The sequence below is a fragment of the Homo sapiens genome, chromosome 1, assembly GCF_000001405.40.
Source record: "Homo sapiens chromosome 1, GRCh38.p14 Primary Assembly".
Lineage (NCBI taxonomy): Eukaryota > Metazoa > Chordata > Mammalia > Primates > Hominidae > Homo > Homo sapiens.
In genome coordinates, this window is record NC_000001.11 from 23,903,472 (window position 1) to 23,926,084 (window position 22,613).

Consider the following 22,613-nt stretch of genomic DNA (forward strand, 5'->3'; position numbering starts at 1 on the left):
GCTGAGGTGGGAGGACCACTTGAGCCCAGGTGGTTGAAGCTACAGCTAGCCGTGATGTGCCACTGCACTCCAGCCTGGGTGACAGAGTGAGACCCCAGGCTTTGTCAAAAAAAAAAAAAAAAGCATTTCTTTTTAACGTGCGTCAGTAAGAAGGGCATGCCTAGGTTAACATATCAAAAGTGCTCCTCATAGTATCTGTGAAACAGCCTTGCAGAACCTAACCTGCCAGGCCATAAATGCAAGGGTGAAAATGGGATTGTGGGGAGCTTCACTTTAACAATAGCTAGTTGTGTAAAATGCAATTAATCCTCACAGTAAGTCAGGAAGGGTGGTCCTATTATCATCATCTCTGTTTTGCAGACAAGGAGACGGAGGCGCAAAGATGCAGTGACTTGTCTGAGGTTGCACAAAAGGGCAGAGCCCGATGTGAACCCAAACCTGTGCCCAGGTCTGCAACTGTCACAGGAGCCTGCCTCCTAGTTGCTCAGCTGGCTCCTGCGGCTTTCTCCCGGGGACTTCTCTCTAATCTTTCTGGGGGGCCCTTTGAAATGTTAAAAAATTGCATTTGGGCTCCCGATTTTCTGCTTTACCAGATTCCAGAGTTCACACTGCCTGAAGACAGGAATCTTAGCTTTGCCCCACTAGGGAGCTCCTTTGTGATCCAGGTGATGTCACTCAGAACTCTGGTTTTTTTGTTCGTTTCATTGTTTTTTTTTTTTTTTTTGGAGTCTCGCTCTGTCACCCAGGCTGGAGTGCAGTGGTGCGATCTCGGCTCACTACAACCTCTGCTTCCCGGGTTCAAGTGATTCTTCCGGCTCAGCCTCCCGAGTAGCTTGGGATTACAGGCGCCTGCCACCATGCCCAGCCAATTTTTTTGTATTTTTATTAGAGACAAGGCTTCACCATGTTGGCCAGGCTGGTCTCGAACTCCTGACCTCAGGTGATCGGCCTGGTGCTGCTTCCAAGTGCTGGGATTACAAGTGTGAGCCACTGCACCTAGCTAATCTTCATTTTTATAACAAGAACTAAAAGGCCTATCTCCCTCTTTCAAAGAAAGTCTACTACAGAAAATTATTTGATGCTCTGTGATATTACAGCATAAATGACTGATAAGCATGTGTGGATCTCTTTCACCCTGAGGGTAGCCTGTTACTGTGAAATCTGTCAGCCATCGGGAAGTATGCATTTGTCTGGGGGTGGGAGGAGCATTGTTAAAATCACACCTGGAAGTGGCCAGTCACCCATTCTGTCCATGAAGTGCTCTCTGTAGGAAAGGAAACTTTCATACAAAGTAAGGCATTATAACCAGGGAACAGAGAGGTCTGTCCCCTGATGATGAGGACTTTTCATGGTGGCTTCTCTCTAAAGCAGGAGTAAGACAGGGTTAACCACGTGGTGAACATTCTGAATCACCTGTGGTTTGCCTCCAGGCCACTCTACCTCTTCCTGGTTTGGCCAGATCCCAAAGGGTAGAGCCCCTACCCCAGCCATGATTCTGGTTTGCTTATAGGGTTGCATCAGTCGGGGGTTGAGGTTGCAATTCAGGCTGGTTCCCAGAACAGGGGAGTTTGTGAAGCGATGTGGAGAGCCATGGAGGCTCAGCTCTTGAAACACTCTGGTGATTATGACAATAGTAGCAACTAATACTGAAATTGCACCTACTGTATACCGTGTGTCAGGCACTATTCTCTGCACTTAACTTTTCTTTTCTTTTCTTTCTTTTTTTTTTTTTGAGATGAGTCTGGCCCTGTTGCCCAGGCTGGAGTGTAGTGCATCTCGGCTCACTGCAACCTCCGCCTCCCGGGTTCAATCGATTCTCTTGCCTCAGCTTCCCAAGTAGCTGGGATTACAGGTACCCGACACCACGCCAGCTAGCTTTTGTATTTTTAGTAGAGATGGGGTTTCACCATGTTGGCCAGGCTTGTCTCAAACTCCTGACCTCAGGTGATCCACCTGCCTTGGCCTCCCAAAGTTCTGGGATTACAGGCATGAGCCACCGCGCCCAGCCATCTTTGCACTTTATATATTATATATATTTATATATTAATTTATATATTCTACACAACAAATCCATGATGGGGGACTAGTATCACTCCTGTTCTGTAGTTGGGGAAACCAGCATCAGCAGAGAGGCTTGACTCATGGGGCTGATAAGATCTGTGAGTGGTGGCAAAGGGGCTGGAGGGGACAAAGGGACAAGCTGGGCAGAGGCTGATGGATGAATTAAACCTGGCATGAGGACTCAGGCCACGGAGAGACGAGGAACAGCCAGGGATAGGCCAGACATCTGGGGAGCTGATCCTCCTGTAAGTTCCTTCTACCTCTCTCTAATAGAATTAATTAAGGTGCATTTGTGCATCTGTTGGCTTTTGGTCCCTGGGACCATAACAAAGAACACATGTTGCAATCTCTGGCCTGGGATTTGGGATCTAGCGGGATCACGGGACACTCTATCAAGCCAATCTCAGGCCTCGGGAGCCAAACTTGCAAGGTGGCCTGGATTTCTAGTTCCTGTTCCTGTTCTGTGTAAAAGAGATTCTCAGTTGGTTCTGAACACAGATTCTCAGTTGGTCCTGAACTTACCCTCGGAACCAACTGAGAATAAGGAGGAAATAGGTAGACAGAGGCAGCCTGAGTCATAGTTGTGATTCTGATTCTGCTCCCACTCTGATGTTTTTTGGAGAACTAGGCTTAAGCTGTCTTCCCCCCTCAGACTCTCTAGCAGTGGGACTCCAGGCCCACACCACTGTACCCACCTCCTGCCCCTTATTAAAGCTGTGTTCTCTCGTGCAAATTACGTCGTCTCCTTGAGCCCCACTGTCCTTGTCTGTAAAATGGGAATAATGAAAATACCTCCACTCAGGACTGTTGTGAGGATTAAACAGTATGTATGGGACATAGAAAACTTAATTTTACAAACCCCAGTGGAAACTACTCGAGCCATTTCATAATTTTCTATGGCCCATGAAAAAGGAAGTGATTTTAAATAAAATGTACTATTTACAATAAGTGTATTGTTTAAAATTTTTCTCTAACTTTTTTTTTTTGTTTTCCTATCTTTCTTTTTTTTCTTTCTTTTTTTTTTTTTAGAGATGGAGTTTTGCCACGTTGCCCACGTTGGTCTTGAACTCCTGAGCTCAAGTGATCCACCTTGAGCTTCAGCACTTCCCAAAGTGCTGGGATTACAGGCGTGAGCCACCGCACCCGGCCAATTCATACTTCTTAAAAGTAATTTTATGTTTGCTATATGATAAGATAAAATAGGTTTCATTTAGCTGGGAGTGGTGGCATGTGCCTGTAGTCTCAGCTACTTGACAGACTCAGATGAGAGGATGACTTGAATCTAGGAGGTCAAGGCTGCAGTGAGCCATGATTGCACCACTGCACTCCAGCCTGGGTGACAAAGTGAGACTCTGTGTCAAAAAAAAAAAAAAGAAAAAATATGTCTCAGGCCCCTATTTGCATGCCTCTCTGTATATGCCTTGCAGGTGTAGATCTCTTTTATACCCAGTACAGGAAAAGACAGAATACATCTTTCTCTCTTCTTACCAACCTTTGAAATGTTGTGAAGTAGTAGGATTTCTCTAATATGCCATATAAGAAAGTTGATCAGATAAATGTAATTTATGAATCTTGAAGCAGGCCGGGCATGGTGGCACACTCCTGTAATCCCAGCACTTTAGGAGAGCAAGGTGGGCGGATCACCTGAGGTCAGGAATTCGGGACCAGCCTGGCCAACATGGTGAAACCCTATCTCTACTAAAAATACAAAAAAATTAGCCGGGCGTGTGGCATGCACCTGTAATCCCAGCTACATGGGAGGCTGAGGCAGGATAATCGCTTGAACCTGGGAGGTGGAGGTTGGGACGTGGAGGTTGCAGTGAGCCGAGATCGCGCCACTATGCTCCAGCCTGGTGACAGAGGGAGACCTTGTCTCAAAAAAAAAAAAAAAAAACAAGAGAAAAAAGAAGAATCTTGAAGCAAATCTGCAGAGGAGTTAACACCATCATTTCCTTGTATTTTCTTTTCTTTTTTTTGAGGTGGAGTCTTGCTTTGTTGCCCGGGCTGAAGTGCAGTGGCGTGATCTCGGCTCACTGCAACCTCTGCCGCCCGGGTTCAAGCAGTTCTCCAGCCTCAGACTCCCAAGTAGCTGGGATTACAGGCGTGTGCCACCACACCTGGCTAATTTTTGTATTTTTTAAGTAGAGATGAGGTTTCACCATGTTGGCCAGGCTGGTCTCAAACTCCTGGCCTCAAGTGATCCACCCACCTCAGCCTCCCAAAGTTCTGAGATTACAGGCGTGAGCTACCGTACCCAGCTTCCTTGTATTTTTGATATCAGTTTCTTATGCTGTCTTTAATCATTGGCTCAGTAAGGGTATAAATTAAATGATATCAGATTAAGAGCAAAAACGATGTAAAGCCATATATCAGCCAAAGCTGTAGCTGAATGATTAATTGCCTGGTTGTGAGTCATGAGCTAGTTTGTTCTATCACCACTAACTACTGCTTTTTTTTTTTTTTTTTTTTTTTGAGATGGAGTCTCCCTCTGTTACCAGGCTGCAGTGGCGTGATCTTGGCTCACTGCAACCTCCGGCTCTCTGGTTCAAGCAATTCTCCTGCCTCAGCCTCCTGAGTAGCTGGGATTACAGGCACATGCCACTATGCCCGGCTAATTTTTGTATTTTTAGTAGAGACGGGGTTTCACCATGTTGGCCAGCATGGTCTCGATATCCTGACCTCATGATCTGCCCACCTGGGCCTCCCAAAGTGCTGGGATTACAGGCATGAGCCACCGTGCCTGGCCAACTATCGCTTTTTAAATATTTATTTTATTTTTGAGATAGGGATCTTGCTCTGTCACCCAGGCTAGAGTGCAGTAGCACAATCTCGGCTCACTGCAGCCTTGAATTCCTGGGCTCAAGCGATGCCTGGCTATACCTGCCAGATTTGATTCTTCCACTTATCCTAGGAAGATCTCACATTGAGAAAAAATCTTTTAACTATTACAATAATTATTCACTAATTTTTAAAAAAATGGAAACAGGCATCAAGACCTTCTAATGATGTGAACCTTCTGGAACATCTCCCTCCCTAGTGGGAAAAGCTGGTAGAAAGTAGTGGGAAGACAGACTTGGGTTTGACTCCTGTCTCTGCCTGTTGTGTCTCAGCCTTAGTGGCTTCATCTGTCAAATGGGCCCATTGGAAGGGAGGGAGGGCTACAGAAGGTCAGTGAAGCACCCTCTGGCTCCTTCCTTGCTCTCAGTGGGCTCTATTCCCCAGCTTCCAGCTCCATCAGATTTTCCAGGACCCAAACAGACCCAGGGAGAGACACAGAGGACGAACTCAATGAATTTGGGCTGAGGCAACACTGTGAACGCAGCTGTGGCTCTCAAAGAGGAACTTAGGGGTTGCCTCAACCTCTAGGGAGGCAAGGGAGCCTCTGAGAGACAGGTGGGGTGGTGGGGGTGAGGGAGTGGGAAAAGCTGCCTTTGACTCACTGTATGAGCAGGAGATCAGAGACCTCCTCTCTGGGCAGTGGAAGCAGGTGGGGGAGGGGAGGAGAAGCCGTGAAGCTCACCGGACACCGAACCACGAAGTCCCCTCTGCTCATGGGCTCACCCACATCCTCCCCGACTGGATGGGGCCCCAGCAGCCTTCACTCCCTCGCCTGCTGGGGAATCCTTCCCTCCCTGCTTGGCCCTAACTCCACTATGCAGTTCCTCCCCCATTAATCTGGCCTTGTCTGTCATTTTCTCTCCTTGGCATTTGAGGTCTTTGCTGCATGGCGTGAGGACTGAGTACATCCTTTCTCTCCCCAGGAGATGGAGGGAAAAGAGAACAGTTTTACACTGTTCTGGGTTCTGCTGGAAGAAGGCTGAGACCTGATCTTACTCTTCTGGTGGTCCCTGCAGCATAGCTGGGGACCGAGAGCCTTGGCTGTGCGTGGGTTCCCACTCTGCCCTCTCCCGAGACTTCAGTGTCCTCATTTATAGCTTGGGGAGAGAAAGAGAATTGCCTTTACAGGACCGAGGTGAGGATTACATAAGATAATGCCTAAGCACAGTCAGGGAAGGTCTGTCAGAGATCATCATGGAAACAGGAAGTCACCTGGGCCAAGGGCTAGAGCCTCAGGGTCTTGGCACAGAGTAGACACCTCACAAGACTGGATTGGACTGCTCAGTTTGGGGTGGGAGGAGAGAAGCCGGCCATATTCATATGATATCCCTCCAATTTCCTCCCCAGCGCAGGTTCTCGGGTTGTCCATGTGATGGCATCTGAAACGCAGCCTGGCGAGCGACACAGTAAAGACAACCCTGATCATGAGTCCCCGAGCCTGCCCTGCATCTCCATACCTAGAGGCATTTCCACTCCCGTTCTCCTATTTTGATTCCCACCACAATATGGCTTGGTTCTGGATCCAGATTGACCTGGACTTGAGTCTCAGCTTTGCCATTACCACCAGTTATGGGACTGTGGACAAGTCTCTCTCCTTCTTTTTTTTTTTTTTGAAACAGTATCTTGCTCAGTTACCCAGGCAATAATAGCTCACTGCAGCCTCAATCTCCCAGGCTTAAACAATCCTTCCACCTCAGCCCCCTGAGTAGCTGGGACCACAGGCATGTGCCACCATGCCTGGCTAATTTTTAATTTTTTTTTTTTTTTTTTTGTAGAGATAGGGTCTCACTATGTTTCCTAGACTGGTCTTGAAGTGCTGAGCTCAAGCTATCCTCCTGCCTGGGCCTCCCAAAGTGCCAAGCTTACAGGTATGAGCCACCATGCCCGGCCCCTTGGATAAGTCTTAAGCTTGTGTGAGCTTCAGTTTCTCACCTTGCAAATGTGGTTAGTGATAGCAGCCCCCTCCTAGGCTGTGGTGAGGACTTAATGAGGAACGGTCACAGAGCTCAAATGTGTAGTAAATGCTTCATCAATCTTCGCTTAAGAAAAAAACAAGAGCGGATCACCTGAGATCGGGAGCTCGAGACCAGCCTGGCCAACATGCAGAAACCCCATCCCTACTAAAAATACAAAATTAGCCGGGCGTGGTGGTGCATGCCTGTCATCCCAGCTACTTGGGAGGCTGAGGCAGGAGAATCGCTTGAACCCAGGAGGCAGAGGTTGCAATGAGCTGAGATTACGCCATTATACTCCAGCCTGGGCAACAAGAGCAAAACGCTGTCTCAAAAAAAAAAAAAAAAAAAAAAAAAGAAAGAAAAGAAAAGAAAACAAAACAAAAAAACAAAAAACAAAAAACAAGAGCCCCTTTGAGGCAGGTTGGGAATGCTATGATAGCGTCATTTTTAGAGTTGAAGAAACTGAGGTTCAGAAAGGTGATGTAACTTGCCCCAGGTTGCCTGAGTAATTGATGAGGGAGACTTGGGTTTCCATGTGATTCCATGTGATTGATAGCACAAGCTCTGAACCCACAGCGCAGGACTCTCTGCTCACACTGGCTCCGCTATTCCTTGGCTGTGTGACACTGAGCAAGTCAACACTGCTGCTGAGTCTTGGTTTTTCTCATCTGTAAGATAGGGCTGCCTGTCTCTTTTCAGAGTGCCCTTTGTGTCTCGTGGCTCGGGGACTTTTTTCAGGGGTGAGAGTAGGAAGCAGAAGCTATTTGAAGACAACCCTTCTTCCTGTCCTTTCCTGAGAACCTGAGCGCAGTGAGAAGGTTAGGTCACGTGGGTGGGGGGTGGGGAGAGAAGAGTGTCCATCTGCCATCCACAGCCAAGGGGAGAGGAGAGATTGTCCTTGGCTGGGAGGGGACCGAGGTCTTGGGCACCTAGAATTTGCTTTCTGGGAAGATGGCAGGACCTCTGGGGGAAGTCACTGGGTGATATATCCTGGATGTCAAAATGAGACACAGTGGTTTCAGGTCTTACAAAGAATCTGGACTCCAGGCATGCCAGGGAAGTGGGCAAGGCTGGACTTCAGACAATCAAGTCCATTTGGGCAATGGGCATCCATCGTAGGAGGACCCAGGAGCCTCCCTCACGCTTATGTTCTGTGTGTCCTCTGGGTCAATGTGCATGGGTGGGGATGGGAGTGAGGGAAGCTCAGTGCACTTGGAGATTAAATTTCCTCCTAGCCCAGTAGGATGAGGCTCAGGGTCCTATTGAATGTGACTTCAACTGAATAAAGAAAAGATCAATTTATGCACACCCGAGGGTGTGCAGTAAGAGTGACTGGTACTGTAAAATGAGGTGGGAAGAGAGGGGGCTGGCGCTGGAGGGCTCTGCTTGGCTGAGCCAGGCTGCCATTTTCCCGTCTTCACTGCCTTATCCTGGCCTTAGCCGGCCAAAGGGTAAAGGATATGCTTCACCTGCCCAGCGCAGGTTAGGGGGTCACTCTGGTAAGCCACAAGGTGGTTACAGAGCTGGGGCCAGGATTATTGGGACTCCACCTCCTGAGCTCTCCCTGAACTTCTCCCCAGCCTCCATCCTGGTTTTCATGCTGCCAACGTGTCTACTTGCCACTCATTCCAGGGAAAAGCAGCCAGGCCTCATTTTATCCTCATCTCAGATCCACAGCAAGAGCAGATGGGGTGAAGATCAAACTCTCCACCACAGCCATTCCCGAGCCCTGTGCTGCTGCCCGCCCTGTGCCCGCATCAGACAGTTGACTCGCAACAAGCCTGTGAGTGACCTTCTCAGGCCCATGTTTCTCAGAAGAGGAAGCTGAGCAGGAAAGAAATGGAGTGATTTGCATTAGGCCATCGAGCTACCAGTGGCAGAGCTGGGATTCAGACCTGGACGCTGACCCCAGGGCACACTGGAAAATACTGCTCTTCCCTCCGCTGAGTGGAACTTACACCAAAGCAGACCCCTGGCCTCCTGAGTCCAGTGTGCCCCTAACACTACCTTGTGGTCTCCCCATCTATAAAATGAGAGCGCAGGACTCACCTGGTCATCTCAAAGGCCTCTGCCAGCCCCTGTCATTTCCTGGCCCCCATCTACTGTTGCAGTCCACACCTCGTAAGGCAGGATAGCCTGGTGGCTGAAGGGTGGGCCGCGAAGCCGGAGTGCCTAGGCTCAAGCCAATGCTCTCATTCAATGCCCGCATGATTTCAGGTGGGTCACCTAGCCCCCACCTATCAAGTGGACAACAGTGATAGCTCCTACTGCATACGGCTGTTGTGAGGATTAAATAAATCCAACCACTAAAGGCTCTTAGGGCAGCGCCTGGCACACAGTAAGGCCATCTCTGTGTGTGTGATTCTTGTCTCTGTAATGAAATGAAAGCCAAAGTCCTGATTCTTGGTCCTAGGAGGGGGATGCCAGCCCTGAACTTTCCTGCGACTGGTCCTCCACAACCCCAGGTGTCCTGAAATGACATCTATCCCCTGCCCCAGACAGGCCCACCTGGCTTCTTGTGTCCCTGGAGGGAAGGGATAAGGTAAGAATACAGGTTTTGGCCAGGTGCAGTGGCTCATGCCTGTAATCCCAGCACTTTGGGAGGCCAAGGTGGGCAGATCACCTGAAGTCGGGAGTTCGAGACCAGCCTGGCCAACATGGTGAAACCCTGTCTCTACTAAAAATACAAAAATTAGCCAGACGCAGTAGTGCACACCTGTAATCCCAACTACACGGGAGGCTGAGGCAGGAGAATCGCTTGAACCTGTGAGGCTGCACTGAGCCGAGATTGTGCCACTGTACTTTAGCCTGGTCAACAGAGCAAAACTCCGTCTCAAAAACAAACAAACAAACAAAAAAGAATACAGGTGTTGGGGAATGAGGAAGAAGCCTAAAATAAACAACAAAAAAAGCTACTCACGGTTGTGTTGTGGGTGGCTGGGCACTGGGAGCTGCCGGGGGCTGAGGAGTCCCAGTTGTTTTCTGTCCTCTCCCAGGACCTGGCCGTGGGTGCCACTCAGAGCACCTGTTGAGTGCCACCCCAAGCCAGCTTTCTCTTGCTTTTGTACTTTCTCACAGATGAGTGAGTGTGAGGAGGTCTGGCCTTCCGTGCCTGTTACCACTTCCCCTCCAGGTCCCTGGTGCCACAATGCTCTTGCCCCTGCGGTTGAGTTATCTCTTACAACGAACTCTGGCCAGGGTGGGGCATGGGCCTAGACCCTGGAGTCAAGGGACTTGGGTTCTAATACAGCCTCGTTAAAATGTTGATTCACTTAACTTCCCCAAAGGCAAGTTTCTTTATCTGTAAAATGGGGATAATGCACCAACATTACAGTAGATCACCTAAAAGGACATGCCATTCCAATGCCTCTTCACCACTAGGCCAGAGCTTTGAAATGCAAATGCCTACAGGCAGATTAACATAATGGGTGATGGATCCTGGTGTGGGGCAATAGGGAGTGGTAGGGACTGTGGGTAATAGGGGGAACACAGGACCCAAGTGGAAAAGCTTGGCTGGAGCTGAGAGGTACCTGACCCTCTCTACTGGCCCAGCTGAGAGGTATCTGCCCCACACCCCAGACCCTGATCTGGGCCAGTAGAGAGGGGCAGGTACCTCTTAGTTCCAGCCAAGCTTTTCTGCTTGGGAGTATAGGCAAATTGTCAGATATTCCAAGCATTTGGAAGTTGTGCTGTATTTTTCAAGAGATACCAGAAATCTTGACTTATGTGATAGCTTCCTGTGTGTGTGTGTGTGTGTGTGTTTTGTTTTTTGTTTGTTTGTTTTTGTTTTGAGACCAAGTCTCGCTCTATTGCCCAGGCTGGAGTGCAATGGCGCAATCTCGGTTCACTGCAACCTCTGCCTCCTGGGTTCAAGCAACTCTCCTGCCTCAGCCTCCTGAGTAGCTGGGACTACAGGTGCACACAACCACCTCCAGCTAATTTGTAGTTTTAGTAGAGACAGGGTTTTGCCATGTTGACCATGCTGGTCTTGAACTCCTGACCTCAAGTGATCCACCCACCTTGGCCTCCTAAAGTGCTAGGATTACAGGGTGAGTCACCACGCCCAGCCACTTCCTGTTTATTTTATTTTACTTTATTTTATTTTATTTTAATTTTTTGAGGCAGGGTCTCGCTCTGTTGCCCAGGCTGGAGTACAGCGGCACGATCATAGTTCACTGCAGCCTCAAATTCCTGGGTTCCAGTGATCCTCCCATCTCAGCCTTCCAGGTAGCCGGCAGAACAGGCATGTGCCACCACACCTGGCTATTTTTTTTTTTTAATTTTTTTGTATAGATGGGGGTCTCACTATGTTGCCTAGCTTGGTTTTGAACTCCTGGGCTCAAGCAAATCCTCCCGCCTCAGTCTCCAAAAGTGTTGGGATTACAGGCATGAGCCACCATGCTCAGCCAGTTGCCAATTTTAGAATGTAAAGCCCAAAGTCACACCTTTAAAAAATGCTATGTGAGTCAAACTAAACATTATCTTCAGTTTATATTTATTAGGGAGTATGTCCCTAATGTCCAGTCCTGGGCTGGATGTACTCAGGTATGGTATCTGATATAGTTCCAAGTGTCCTCACACCCACTCTCAGATAAAATATTTAATGAGACGCCATTATATTCTAAGGATACAGAGATGATTATGGCAAAGTTTTTGCCCTTGTAAACTCATGGCCTATGATTATCTCATCAGATCCTCTCACTAACTGCTCCCCACACCCCAGACCCTGATCTGGGCCAATGAAGAAAGATTTTGCCCCTGAGGTAGAGTTGCAAGATTCTTCAAGTAAAAAATGTTACAGGCATGAGCCACCCCACCTGGCCCAATGAATTATATTCTTGAAGATGATGGAGAGTAGATTTTAAGTGTTCTCACCACAAAAATAAGTATGTGAGGTAATGCAACAATAGTTGAGACATTCAGGCACTAAAAATTACTTGTTGCTTATGTGCGATTAGAATGCTCAGCCTAGCGTGGTGGCTCACGCCTGTTATCCCAGCACTTTGGGAGGCAGAGGCAGATGGACTGCCTGAGATCAAGAGTTCAAGACCACCCTGGGCAACATGGTGAAACCTCATCTCTACTAAAATACAAAAAATTAGCTGGGTGTGGTGGTGCGTAGTTGTAGTCCCAGCTACTCAGGAGGCTGAGGCATGAGAAATGCTTGAGCCACAGAGGCGGAGGTTGCAGGGAGCCGAGATCGCCTTACTGCACTCCAGCTTGGGCTCCAGAGTGAGACTCTGTCTCAAAAAAAAAAAAAAAAGAAAAAAGAAAAAGAAAAAAAAGAATGTAACCAGGCATTCTCTGTCTTATCTGGCAACACCACCCAGAGGGGACACTTGGCAATATCTGGAGACATTTTTGGTTGTCACAACCTGGTGGAGGAATTCTACTGACATCTGCTAGGGAGAGGCCAGGAATGCTGCTAACCATTCTGCAATGCACAGGACAGCCCTACAGCAAGGAATTATCCAGCTCAAGATGCTAACTTGCGAACCCTGGTCTGGACCTAGTCCTGGCTCCTTCAGCGCAAAGCCATTGCTGGGAAGGGCCTTTAATTTGATCATTCATCCCTTTGGGAAATGGAACAGTAACAGCCTCCAGCCCTTGCATCTCTCCCAAGAGCAAGACATTGGCAGTGAGGAATGGGACAGAGAGCCCCAGGTGCCAAGAAAGAGGAAAAGAAGACCAGAAGGAGCTGGGGAGTGGGGCCCGCCTGCAGCCTACATCAGACTCCTATCTGGGCTGGAATTGGAGACCCAGGGGTGAGCTGGAAGAGATCTAGCAGATGCTTCCACAATCCTGAATCCTAGACCTCTGGCCTTGAGAAAGCCCCACATGGGGAAGAAGGGTGAGGCTGTCCCCAAACGCCTGGTCCTCCATTGCAGCCCAAAGCATGTAATTGGAGGTGGAAGGCATGAATGAGTGAAGGAATGAATGAACGAAGGAAGAAAGAAAGGAAGTTACTGAAAGTTCAAGTGGAAGGAACGCTGGGAAGCGGAGTTTTTGTGTGGTCTCTGCCATTGCCTGGCTGACCAACAAGTTGCTTCCTGTATCTGTTCTCAATTTCTCCATTCCTAAAATGAGGAAGTTGGAGATAACAGGTGCCCCTGAAACGCCTGAGTGCATGGAAGTCACCCACAGGGCCTGTTAAAACACAGATTGGGGCCGGGTGAGGAGGCTCATGCCCGTAATCCCAGCATTCTGGGAGGCTGAGGCGGGAGGAGGTCTTGCCTGAACTCAGGAGTTTGAGGTTATAGTGAGCTCTGATTATGCTACTGCACTCCAGGCTGGGTGACAGAGAGAGAACCTTGACTTGAAAAACAAAACCCCAAAACACAGATTGCTGGGCCCCACTCCCAGAGATTCTGATTCAGTATTCTGGGATGGGGCCCAAGAATCTGCATTTCTAACTAATTCCCAGGGGAAGCAGATGCTGTCGGTCCTTGGACTCCCTATGGGCAGCACTGGACAAGAGAATCAATAAGGAAGCTCCATGATCTCTCAGTCCCCTGGGCAGGGCTGATGGGGCCCACAGGGGAAGTCTGTTCTCTTTTTGCCCTGGGAGGGCCAGGAGCAATTGTAGGTGAGGGTTTAGGAGGCGGTTTTCTCAGCTCCTTGGGTAGAGCTGGCCTCAGCAGCCCTTGTACTGTGAGATGCCGCCATCTACAGGATGGATCTACCCCATGCTGGGGCCGAGTGCTGTCATATTGAGGGTCTGATCTGAGGAGGAACATTCCCGAGAGGTATACTTTTCCTGTCAGGCCACAGGGAAGCAGTCTTTGCACTGTCTGAACCAACTGACCCTAAGATGGTTCAAAGCCAGGCATGGTGGCTCATGTCCGTAATCCCAGGCCTGTGGGAGACCGAGGAGGAAGGAAGGATTGCTTGAGCCCAGGAGTTCGAGACCAGCCCAGGCAACATAGCGAGACCCTGTCTCTACAAAAAATAAAAAATTAGCTGGGCATGGTGATGTATGCCTGTACTCACAGCTACTCAGGAGGCTGAGGCAGGAGGGTCATGTGAGCCCAGGAGGTCAAGGCTGCAATGAGCCATGATCTGCACCACTGCACTCCAGCTTGGGCGATGGAGGAAAAGAAAAAAAAAAAAGATTATTCAGTTTTCAGTGTAAATGTTGGTCCCTGAATTAACTTGGGAAAATAAAACAAAATGTGTCTGCAATCATATGGGATAACATATTTTCACCAAAACTGTTGTTATGTTTTGCCTTTTAAACCCTGCTATACAGTATTCCTTTTAAAATTAATTAATTTTTTAGAATTGTCAAAAATTGTATACATTTAACATGTACAATGTGATGTTTTGTAATATACATATACATTGTAGAATGGCTAAATTGAACCAATTAGCATATGCATTACCTCATATACTTATTTTTGTGGTGAGAACACTTAAAATCTACTCTCCATCCGCCGGGCACGGTGGTTTATGCCTGTAATCCCAGCACTCTGGGAGGCCGAGGCGGGCGGATCACGAGGTCAGGAGATCGAGACCATCCTGGCTAACATGGTGAAACCCTGTCTCTACTAAAAAATACAAAAATTAGCCGGGCTTGGTGGTGGGCGCCTGTAGTCCCAGCTACTCGGGAGGCTGTGGCAGGAGAATGGCAGGAACCTGGGAGGCGGAGCTTGCGGTGAGCCAAGATTGTGCCACTGCACTCCAGCCTGGGCGACAGAGCGAGACTCTGTCTCAAAAATAAATAAATAAATAAAATAAAATCTACTTTCCATCATTTTCAAGAATATAATCCACCGGGCCAAGTGAGGTGGGGTGGCTCATGCCTGTAATCCCAACACTTTGGGAGGCCAAGGCTGGCAGATCACTTGAGGTCAGGAGTTCAAGACCAGCCCGGCCAACATAATGAAACCTGTCTCTACTAAAAGATAGAAAAATTAGTCAGGTGTGGTGGTGGGCGCCTGTAATCCCAGCTACTCAGGAGGCTGAGGCAGGAGAATCTCTTGAACCTGGGAAGCAGAGGTTGCAGTGAGCCGAGATTGTGCCACTGCACTCCAGCCTTGGTGACAGAGCAAGACTCTGTCTCAAAAAAAAAAAAAAGGAAATCCATCAGACCCAAATTTTGCCCATTTGTCAGGCCTTTTTTCCCCCAATTATGAAAGTAAACAGAAGCAGGCCGGGTGCGGTGGCTCACACCTGTAATCCCAGCACTTTGGGAGGCCGAGGCAGGCAGATCAGTTGAGGCCAGGAGTTCAAGACCAGCCTGGCCAACATGGTGAAACCCTGTCTCTAATAAAAGTACAAAAATTAGCCAGGCATGGTGGCGGGCACCTATAATCCCAGGTACTCAAGAGGCTGAGGCAGGAGAATTGCTTGAACCCGTGGGGCAGAGGTTGCGGTGAGCCGAGATCGTGCCACTTCGCTCCAGCCTGGGCAATAGAGCGAAACTCCGTCTTGGAAAAAAAGAAAAAAAGAAAGAAAAGAAAAGAAAGAAAGTAAACAGAAGCAACCAACAATGTGCCACGTCAAAAAGGAAGCAAAGTAAGCCTTCTAACATGTGACCATTTTGTAAATTAGAAAACGTCTATATATACAAGAGTATAACATATTTCACAAGGACACATTTAAAGTTAAGGATACTTATCCACCCAGAGGTACCCCAGAGGAGAGTTACTTTTGGTGCTGCGGGAAATGGGAGGAAACGGGATAAAAGAAATTCAGTCCAGCCAGGTGCCGTGGCTCACGCCTGTAATCCCAGACTTTGGGAGGCTGAGGCGGGCAGTTCACAAGGCCAAGAAATTGAGACCATCCTGGTCAACATGGTGAAACCTTGTCTCTACTAAAAATACAAAAATTAGCCAGGCGTGGTGGCACGCACCTGTAGTCTCAGCTACTTAGGAGGTTGAGGCAGGAGAATTGCTTGAACCCAGGAGGCAGAGGCTGCAGTGAACTGAGATCGCGTCACTGCACTCCAGCCTGGCGACAGAGCAAGACTCCGTCAAAATAAATAAATAAGTAAATAAAAATTCAATCCCTTGATGAACCAATTCCACAAGAGAGACCTTGGACAGAATCCATGACAGTGCGTCATAGACGGCAGGGGGCTGCTTAAGGCAATAAACCCACCAAAGGTCTCCCTGAAAAACCCAACATTCTTATTTTGGACATTTTGGAAAACTTCTTTCTATTTTTTTTTTCTCCCCCTAACCTAAATGCCCATCAATGGTATGGAAAACTTATTTATTTATTTATTTATTTATTTATTTTTTAAGACGGAGTCTCGCTCTGTCGCCCAGGCTGGAGTGCAGTGGCGCGATCTCTCACTGCAAGCTCCACCTCCCGGGTTCACGCCATTCTCCTGCCTCAGTCTCCCGAGTAGCTGGGACTACAGGCGCCCGCCACCACACCCGGCTAATTTTTTGTATTTTTAGTAGAGACGAGGTTTCACCGTGTTAGCCAGGATGGTCTCGATCTCCTGGCCTCGTGATCCGCCCACCTCGGCCTCCCAAAGTGCTGGGATTACAGGCGTGAGCCACCGCGCCCGGCTGGAAAACTTTTTAAAAATAGAAGGAAGAAAACAAAAATGCTTCTTGATCTCACCACAGGGAGGTAGATGCTGTTAACGTTTAGATGTGTTTCTTTCTGGGCTGCCACAATTCCAGGCCAGAGGTATTGAGGAACCCAGGCTGGGCCATGGGGGCAGAGGAGAGAACACAGTGGAAGAGATGAATTAGAGGGTTGATTAATAGAACCAGAGTTTGGAGCCAAACTTGGGGCTTCCAGTGTCTGAAAAAATGCCAGCGCCCAGCACGTGACTATTTCTTTAGAGCTGCCCTTTGCCTTCCTGCGCAGCCCCAGCCCAGCCCCTGCCCAGCCCCAGCAGTAAACAGTCAATTCTATAAATAGCCATGTGGGCAGATGCCAAGGCAGATCTGAGCCTACCAGGCTGCGGGACCTGAGAGCATTTAGTGATTGTCTCGACTCTCACCATAGGGCTCAGCCAGCAGTACAAGCACAGGCTGATAACGTTCCCCTCTCCAAAAGAGGACTGTGGCAGGCAGCTTTGGTAGCAGAAGATTATATTTGGATTTTCCAGCTTCCATGAGAAGCAACATAGCACAAGGATTGAGAGTCTGGGCTCTGAACCAGAGGGACCTGGGCCTCTGTTCCCAGTTTGCCACTGAATAGCTGTGTGACTTAATTTTCTTGAATTTCAGTTTTTCCATCTAGTAATACCACCTAGCAATTACATGCAAAAAAAAAAAAAAAAGAAAAGAAAAAGAAAAAATGGAAAACACCATATAAATATCAGGGGTTGGTATAAACAAGGTAATAAGATAAATATAGATGCTGTCACTGACAAACACTCTTTTTGAGCAAACTTTAGTTAGGTTCCTCTGTCTTTTCAATTAGAACTTGAACTTGGCTCTGTCCTGTCTTTGGTTGGCCCAGCCCAGTCCTAGCAAAAAATCCTGCTAAGTCATCCCCCTACCCTGGATATCTGATAAAGTTCTTCATCGCCCACCTTTGATGTGTATGTCCTGGGCCTGCCTTTAGCAAGAATCTTGTTAGGTCTGTTTAACAAGAATCTCCATATTCTTGACGTCTCCTCTTAGTAATGTTAAAATTTATAGGAGGACATTGATTTGAACTGAACTTCCTGCACGAGGCCCAATAGAGCAGACCGAAATGGAGTTCCTCGTGCCGAAGCCCATGCTACCAAGCCAAAACTAAGTTGTTTATCTGACCTTCTGAGAAACCAGGAGAGAGCCAGATAAACACCAAACCTCCAAACAAGCCAATTTTGGCAGGCATGATAACAAAGTGCTCTCTGCTTTTTAAAAACTTTTTTTTGAAACGAAGCCTTGCTCTGTTACTCAGCTGGAGTGCAGTGGCATGATCTCAGTTCACTGCAACCTCCACCTTTTGCAAGCGATTCTCCTGCCTCAGCCTCTTGAGTAGCTGGGACTGTAGGCATGCACCACCGTGTCTGGCTAATTTTTTTTTTTTTTTTTTGTATTTTTAGTAGAGACAGCGTTTCACCATGTTGGCCAGGCTGGTCTCGAACTCCTGACCTCAAGCAATAGGCCTGCCTCAGCCTCCCAAAGTGCTGGGATAACAGGCATGAGTCACTGCGCCTGGCCTGCTTTTTAGAAACTTTAAGGCCGGGTGTGGTGGCTCACGCTTATAATCCCAGCACTTTGGGAGGCCGAGGAGGGCAGATCACGGGTCAGGAGATTGAGACCAGCCTGGCAACATGGTGAAACCCCGTCTCTACTAAAAGTACAAAAATTAGCTGGGTGTGTTGGCGTGTGCCTGTAATCCCAGCTACTCGGGAGGCTGAGGCAGGAGAATCGCTTGAACCTGGGAGGCAGAGGTTGTAGTGAGCTGAGATCGCGCCACTGCACTCTAGCCTGGTGGTAGAGCAAGACTCTGTCAAAAAAAAAAAAAAAAAAAAAAAACCTTTAAATTTTTATTTTTTATTTTTTATAGAGATGAGGTCTTACCATGTTGGCCAGGCTGGTCTCGAACTCCTGGCCTCAAGCGATCCTCCCATCCCAGTCTCCCAATGCACTAGGATGACAGATATGAGCCACCACACCTGGCCCATGTTCCCTCTGCTTTAACCTTTACTAGGAAATGAATCCCCCTTTTGTTCTCTGTTTCTGCTTTCCCCACCCCTTTTCTGTCTATAAAACTAAAACCTTCTGCTTGGCTCATGGGAACACTTATTACATTTTACAGAATGAGGTGTTGCTCTATTCTAGAATCACAAATAAATGCCAATTAAGATCTTTAAACTAAATTTGTTGTAATTTTATTTATTTATTTATTTTGAGATGGAGTGTTTCAGTTGCCCAGGCTGGAGTGCAGTGGCACAATCTCGGCTCACTGCAACCTCCGCCTCCTGGACTCAGGCGATTCTCCTGCTTCAGCCCCACAAGTAGCTGGGATTACAGGCATGCGCCACCACTCCCAGCTAATTTTGTATTTTTAGTAGAGACGGGTTTTACCGTGTTGGCCAGCCTGGTCTCAAACTCCTGACCTCAGGTGATCTGCTCGCCTCGGCCTCCCAAAATGCTGGGATTACACACCAGGCGTGAGCCACCACACTTGGCCAATTTGTTGTAATTTAGTCTTTTGATAGTAAATTTCCACCCACAGACCCCCCCAGTCACTGAGCTCCTTGGCTATAAATTCCCACTTATCTGTGTTGTATTTGGAGTTGCGTCTGATTCCCCGCAATCCGTTGCAACACCCCTACTGCAATAGTCTTAAAGTTATCTTCACCATTTTAACAAGTGTCGGGATAATTTTCCTTTCACATCTCCAATCTGAACAAAAAATATAAAAGTTAACCCAGGAGAAAACCCATGTCAGGCAGTAAAATCCCACACACCCATCATAAATTCCATACTATCCCGGTACCTGGCACAAGTGTCCAACCCATGATTGGACAAATACTCAGAGAGTATTTGTTGAATGAATAATTGCTGAGTGTCCCTGGCATGGCAAAAATAATGGAAGCCATAGAGTCTGGGAGGTGGGTCTGATCTGTTCCTTTACCTCTGGAAGGTGGGATGGTGTGGGGAGACAGGACACTGGGAGTCAGAAACCCCAGTGTCCAATCCCAGCCCCATTCTAACTCTCTATAAGCCTCAGCCCCGTCATCTGTGAAATGAACAGGCTGGGTTTGGTAAGAAGTTAAAACTTTTTTTTTTCTTACTGCAATCCATGAAAGATTCATTTTATATCATGACTCAATACACATATAAGGCCGGGAGCAGTGGCTCACACCTGTAATCCCAGCACTTGGGGAGGCCGAGGTGGGAGGATCACCAGAAGTCAGGATTTCAAGACCAGCCTAGCCAACATGGAGAAACCCTGTCTCTACTAAAAATACAAAAATTAGCCGGGTGTGGTGGTGCATGCCTGTAGTGCCAGCTACTCGGAAGGCTGAGGCAGGAGAATTGCTTGAAACTGGGAGGTGGAGGTTGCTATGAGCTGAGATCACACCACTGCACTCCAGCCTGGATGACAGAGCAAGACTCCATCTCAAAAACAAACAAACAAACAACAACATAAAAACAAAAAACAAAAACAGAAACACATATAATACATACTATATGTAAAATTGCAACTTCAGTTTCGTGAAACCAATAATTCTTACTATACGGGATACACTCTGATATTTTCCTTTTTATTTTATTCAGTTCTAATTAATTTTATTTTATTTAACTATGCCATTTGTAGCCAAAGAAATAATTTTTATTACTCACCAATGGATCACAAGCTGAAAATACTTATTAGAGAGCCTCTTCTCTAGGTCTGGAATTCTAATCTGCCCACATATTTTCACCTCTACACCTTTGATTCTCTTAGCCTGCAATGCCCTCTGACTCTTGCTTATCAATTTGGTCTTGACTCCTTCTTCCAGGCCCAACATAAGTCCTTCTTCCTCCAGGAAGTCTTCCCAGCTTGTCACAAGTCCCATTTCTCGTTCAGTTTTTGTTTTGTTTCCTTAAATTGCTGTACCTGTCAATTAGCCAGCAAGTATTTATTTGTCTGTTTATGTGTCTAGAACTGTGCTTGGAGAATGAGTCAAAAAGACATAAGATGCATTCTGGGGCCCAGGTGCTGAGTTGGAGTGATCAGCAGGACACAAAGGACAGGGGACATGAGAAGGTAGCCCATTAGGGGGTGCAACCTCTTGGAGGAAGAGGGACAGGGAAAAACCTGTCTTCCACTTCCCACTCCCATCCTTGCAAGGGTTCAGAGACGTGGAGGGAGGGCAAAGAGAGTTAGGGCTAAGGACAAAACAGAGCCCAAAGGGGCCAGGGGTGGCAGGAAGAGCTGTTTTCTGTACAAAGAGAAGTTAGAGTCCAGGGCCCCAACACAGGGGTTAAAACAAATGGGTCAGAAGGAGGCGTTTCATGCCGCTGGACTGGCTGGGTCACTGGCGACTGAACAACCGCAGCAAAGTCTGCAGCTGCAGTTTCCACTCTGAGCAGATGCCAAAGCATCCAACTGGCTGGGCACTCCCGACTCCAGTTGGCTGGAGAAGCTGTGGATAGGTTTGAACTTCCAGGAAAAGTTGACTGAACGACTTCATGGTTTTATATCACAGGCTGAATAGTGACAAAGATTCCTTGACCAAACTCTACTCAGGCCTTGAACTTTTCTTTTTTCTTTTTCTTTTCTTTCTTCTTTCTTTCTTTTTTTTTGGTGGAGTTTCGATCTTGTTGCCCAGGCTGGAGTGCAATGGCGCACAATCTTAGCTCATCACAACCTCCACCTCCCGGGTTCAAGCGATTCCCCTGCCTCAGCCTCCTGAGTAGCTGGGATTACAGGTATGTGCCACCACACCCGACTAATTTTGTATTTTTCATAGAGAGGGGGTTTCTCCATGTTGCTCAGGCTGGTCTCGAACTCCTGACCTTGGAAGATCCTCCCGCTTCGGCCTCCCAAAGTGCTGGGATCACAGGCGAGAGCCGCCGTGCCCGGCCTAGCCTTGAACTTTTCAACGAGACCTTGACTTCTGTGTTCATCTCTGCATTGGTCAATGTCAGCAAGAATCCTGTGAAGTTGATTTAGCTAGAATCTCCTGTCCTCCATGTCTGATCACCCTCAATATCTGATAGGGTCCTTCATCCTCCACCACCTCCCAGGTGACATCTGATGATCCTGGCTTGCCTTCAGCCAGGATGTTAGGTTGGCTTAGCCAGAAGCCCCCCTCCCCTTACTTCTGATGTATTCTCTTAGTAATTTTTCATCCGGTGATCCCCACCCTGCTCCTTGGCTATAAATTTCCACTTGCTGATTCTGTATGTGGACTTGAGTCCCCCCAACTGCAAAACCCCATTGAAGTGGTCTTTATACCTGTCATGATGCGCCCCCCCCCCTTGAATAAACGCTTCCTTACCATCTTGAATGAGTGTCACTAATAATTTTGTCTTTAACAACAGCTTGCAGGACCCATAAAAGGGTATAGCCAAGAGTTAATAACCGGGGATTCGGGAGATCCTTGGATGGATGAGGAAGCAACAGGGGAGGAAAGACCAGATCAGAGACCAAGTTCTAGTTCTGGCACTGCCTCATCCTGCCATGTGGCCTTGAACAAGTGTGAGCCTCAGATTCTTCTCCTACAAAAGCAGAAGATGGGAGAGACCATCCTGCTCTGACTTTCCATGTGGGACTGAATTAGACATAACTCCTGCCCTCAACGTGTTTACAGTCCAGTTGGGAAGGTGAAGCATTGGCTGAACTGAGTCATAACACTTAGCCCCAGGTGGCTGGTTCTGGTGTATAGTCAATAGTTAGTAAATGTCTACTGAATAAATGAAAGGAAAACACTAATAAACCTCCTCACTGAACCCTCACTGTATACCAGACACAGAGTTAAACTTTTCACAAATATTTTCTTATTTAACCCTCACAACACTTACCAGTAAGGATTATATATCTATATTGTGTTACATATTCAAATATAACATAATATTCCCCAGGAAGTAGGTAAGAGGAGCTCTAGGTGTTTTGGGTAAGACCAAGTTCACCATCTTTTGTACTCCGGAGTGTAATCTTCACATGGTCCTATAGGCCAGGAGGCAAATCTTCTCCCACCTCACTCCAGAATTCCTGTTCTGTGACTCATTTTATTTTTAAAAATTTTATTTATTTATTTATTTATTTATTTGAGATGGAGTCTCGCTCTGTCACCCGGGCTGGAGTGCAGTGGCACTATCTTGGCTTACTGCAGCCTCCGTCTCCTGGGTTCAAACGATT

General features: G+C 47.6%; 1 protein-coding gene across 1 annotated transcript in view, besides 5 other annotated features; it reads right to left on the reverse strand.

Moving 5' to 3' along the window:
- Positions 1 to 9,891, reverse strand: part of CNR2 (cannabinoid receptor 2) — a 42,848-nt gene extending 32,957 nt beyond the window's left edge. Inside the window, exon 1 of the mRNA NM_001841.3 lies at positions 9,775 to 9,891. The gene's annotated coding sequence lies outside the window, so the exon portion shown is untranslated. The remainder of the gene's footprint in view (positions 1 to 9,774) is intronic.
- Positions 1,577 to 1,656: an enhancer, noted in NCBI's record as "active region_382". NCBI's record gives its function as "activates an Ori minimal core promoter by ATAC-STARR-seq in GM12878 lymphoblastoid cells {active_cell/tissue: GM12878}" and the evidence as "EXISTENCE:reporter gene assay evidence [ECO:0000049][PMID:35858748]".
- Positions 6,740 to 6,789: a silencer, noted in NCBI's record as "silent region_428". NCBI's record gives its function as "represses an Ori minimal core promoter by ATAC-STARR-seq in GM12878 lymphoblastoid cells {active_cell/tissue: GM12878}" and the evidence as "EXISTENCE:reporter gene assay evidence [ECO:0000049][PMID:35858748]".
- Positions 8,760 to 8,929: an enhancer, noted in NCBI's record as "active region_383". NCBI's record gives its function as "activates an Ori minimal core promoter by ATAC-STARR-seq in GM12878 lymphoblastoid cells {active_cell/tissue: GM12878}" and the evidence as "EXISTENCE:reporter gene assay evidence [ECO:0000049][PMID:35858748]".
- Positions 9,703 to 10,217: an enhancer, noted in NCBI's record as "NANOG-H3K27ac hESC enhancer chr1:24239664-24240178 (GRCh37/hg19 assembly coordinates)". NCBI's record gives its function as "activates a minimal SCP1, AML or CMV promoter by ChIP-STARR-seq in primed H9 embryonic stem cells {active_cell/tissue: H9 hESC(primed)}" and the evidence as "EXISTENCE:reporter gene assay evidence [ECO:0000049][PMID:30033119]".
- Positions 13,570 to 13,619: an enhancer, noted in NCBI's record as "active region_384". NCBI's record gives its function as "activates an Ori minimal core promoter by ATAC-STARR-seq in GM12878 lymphoblastoid cells {active_cell/tissue: GM12878}" and the evidence as "EXISTENCE:reporter gene assay evidence [ECO:0000049][PMID:35858748]".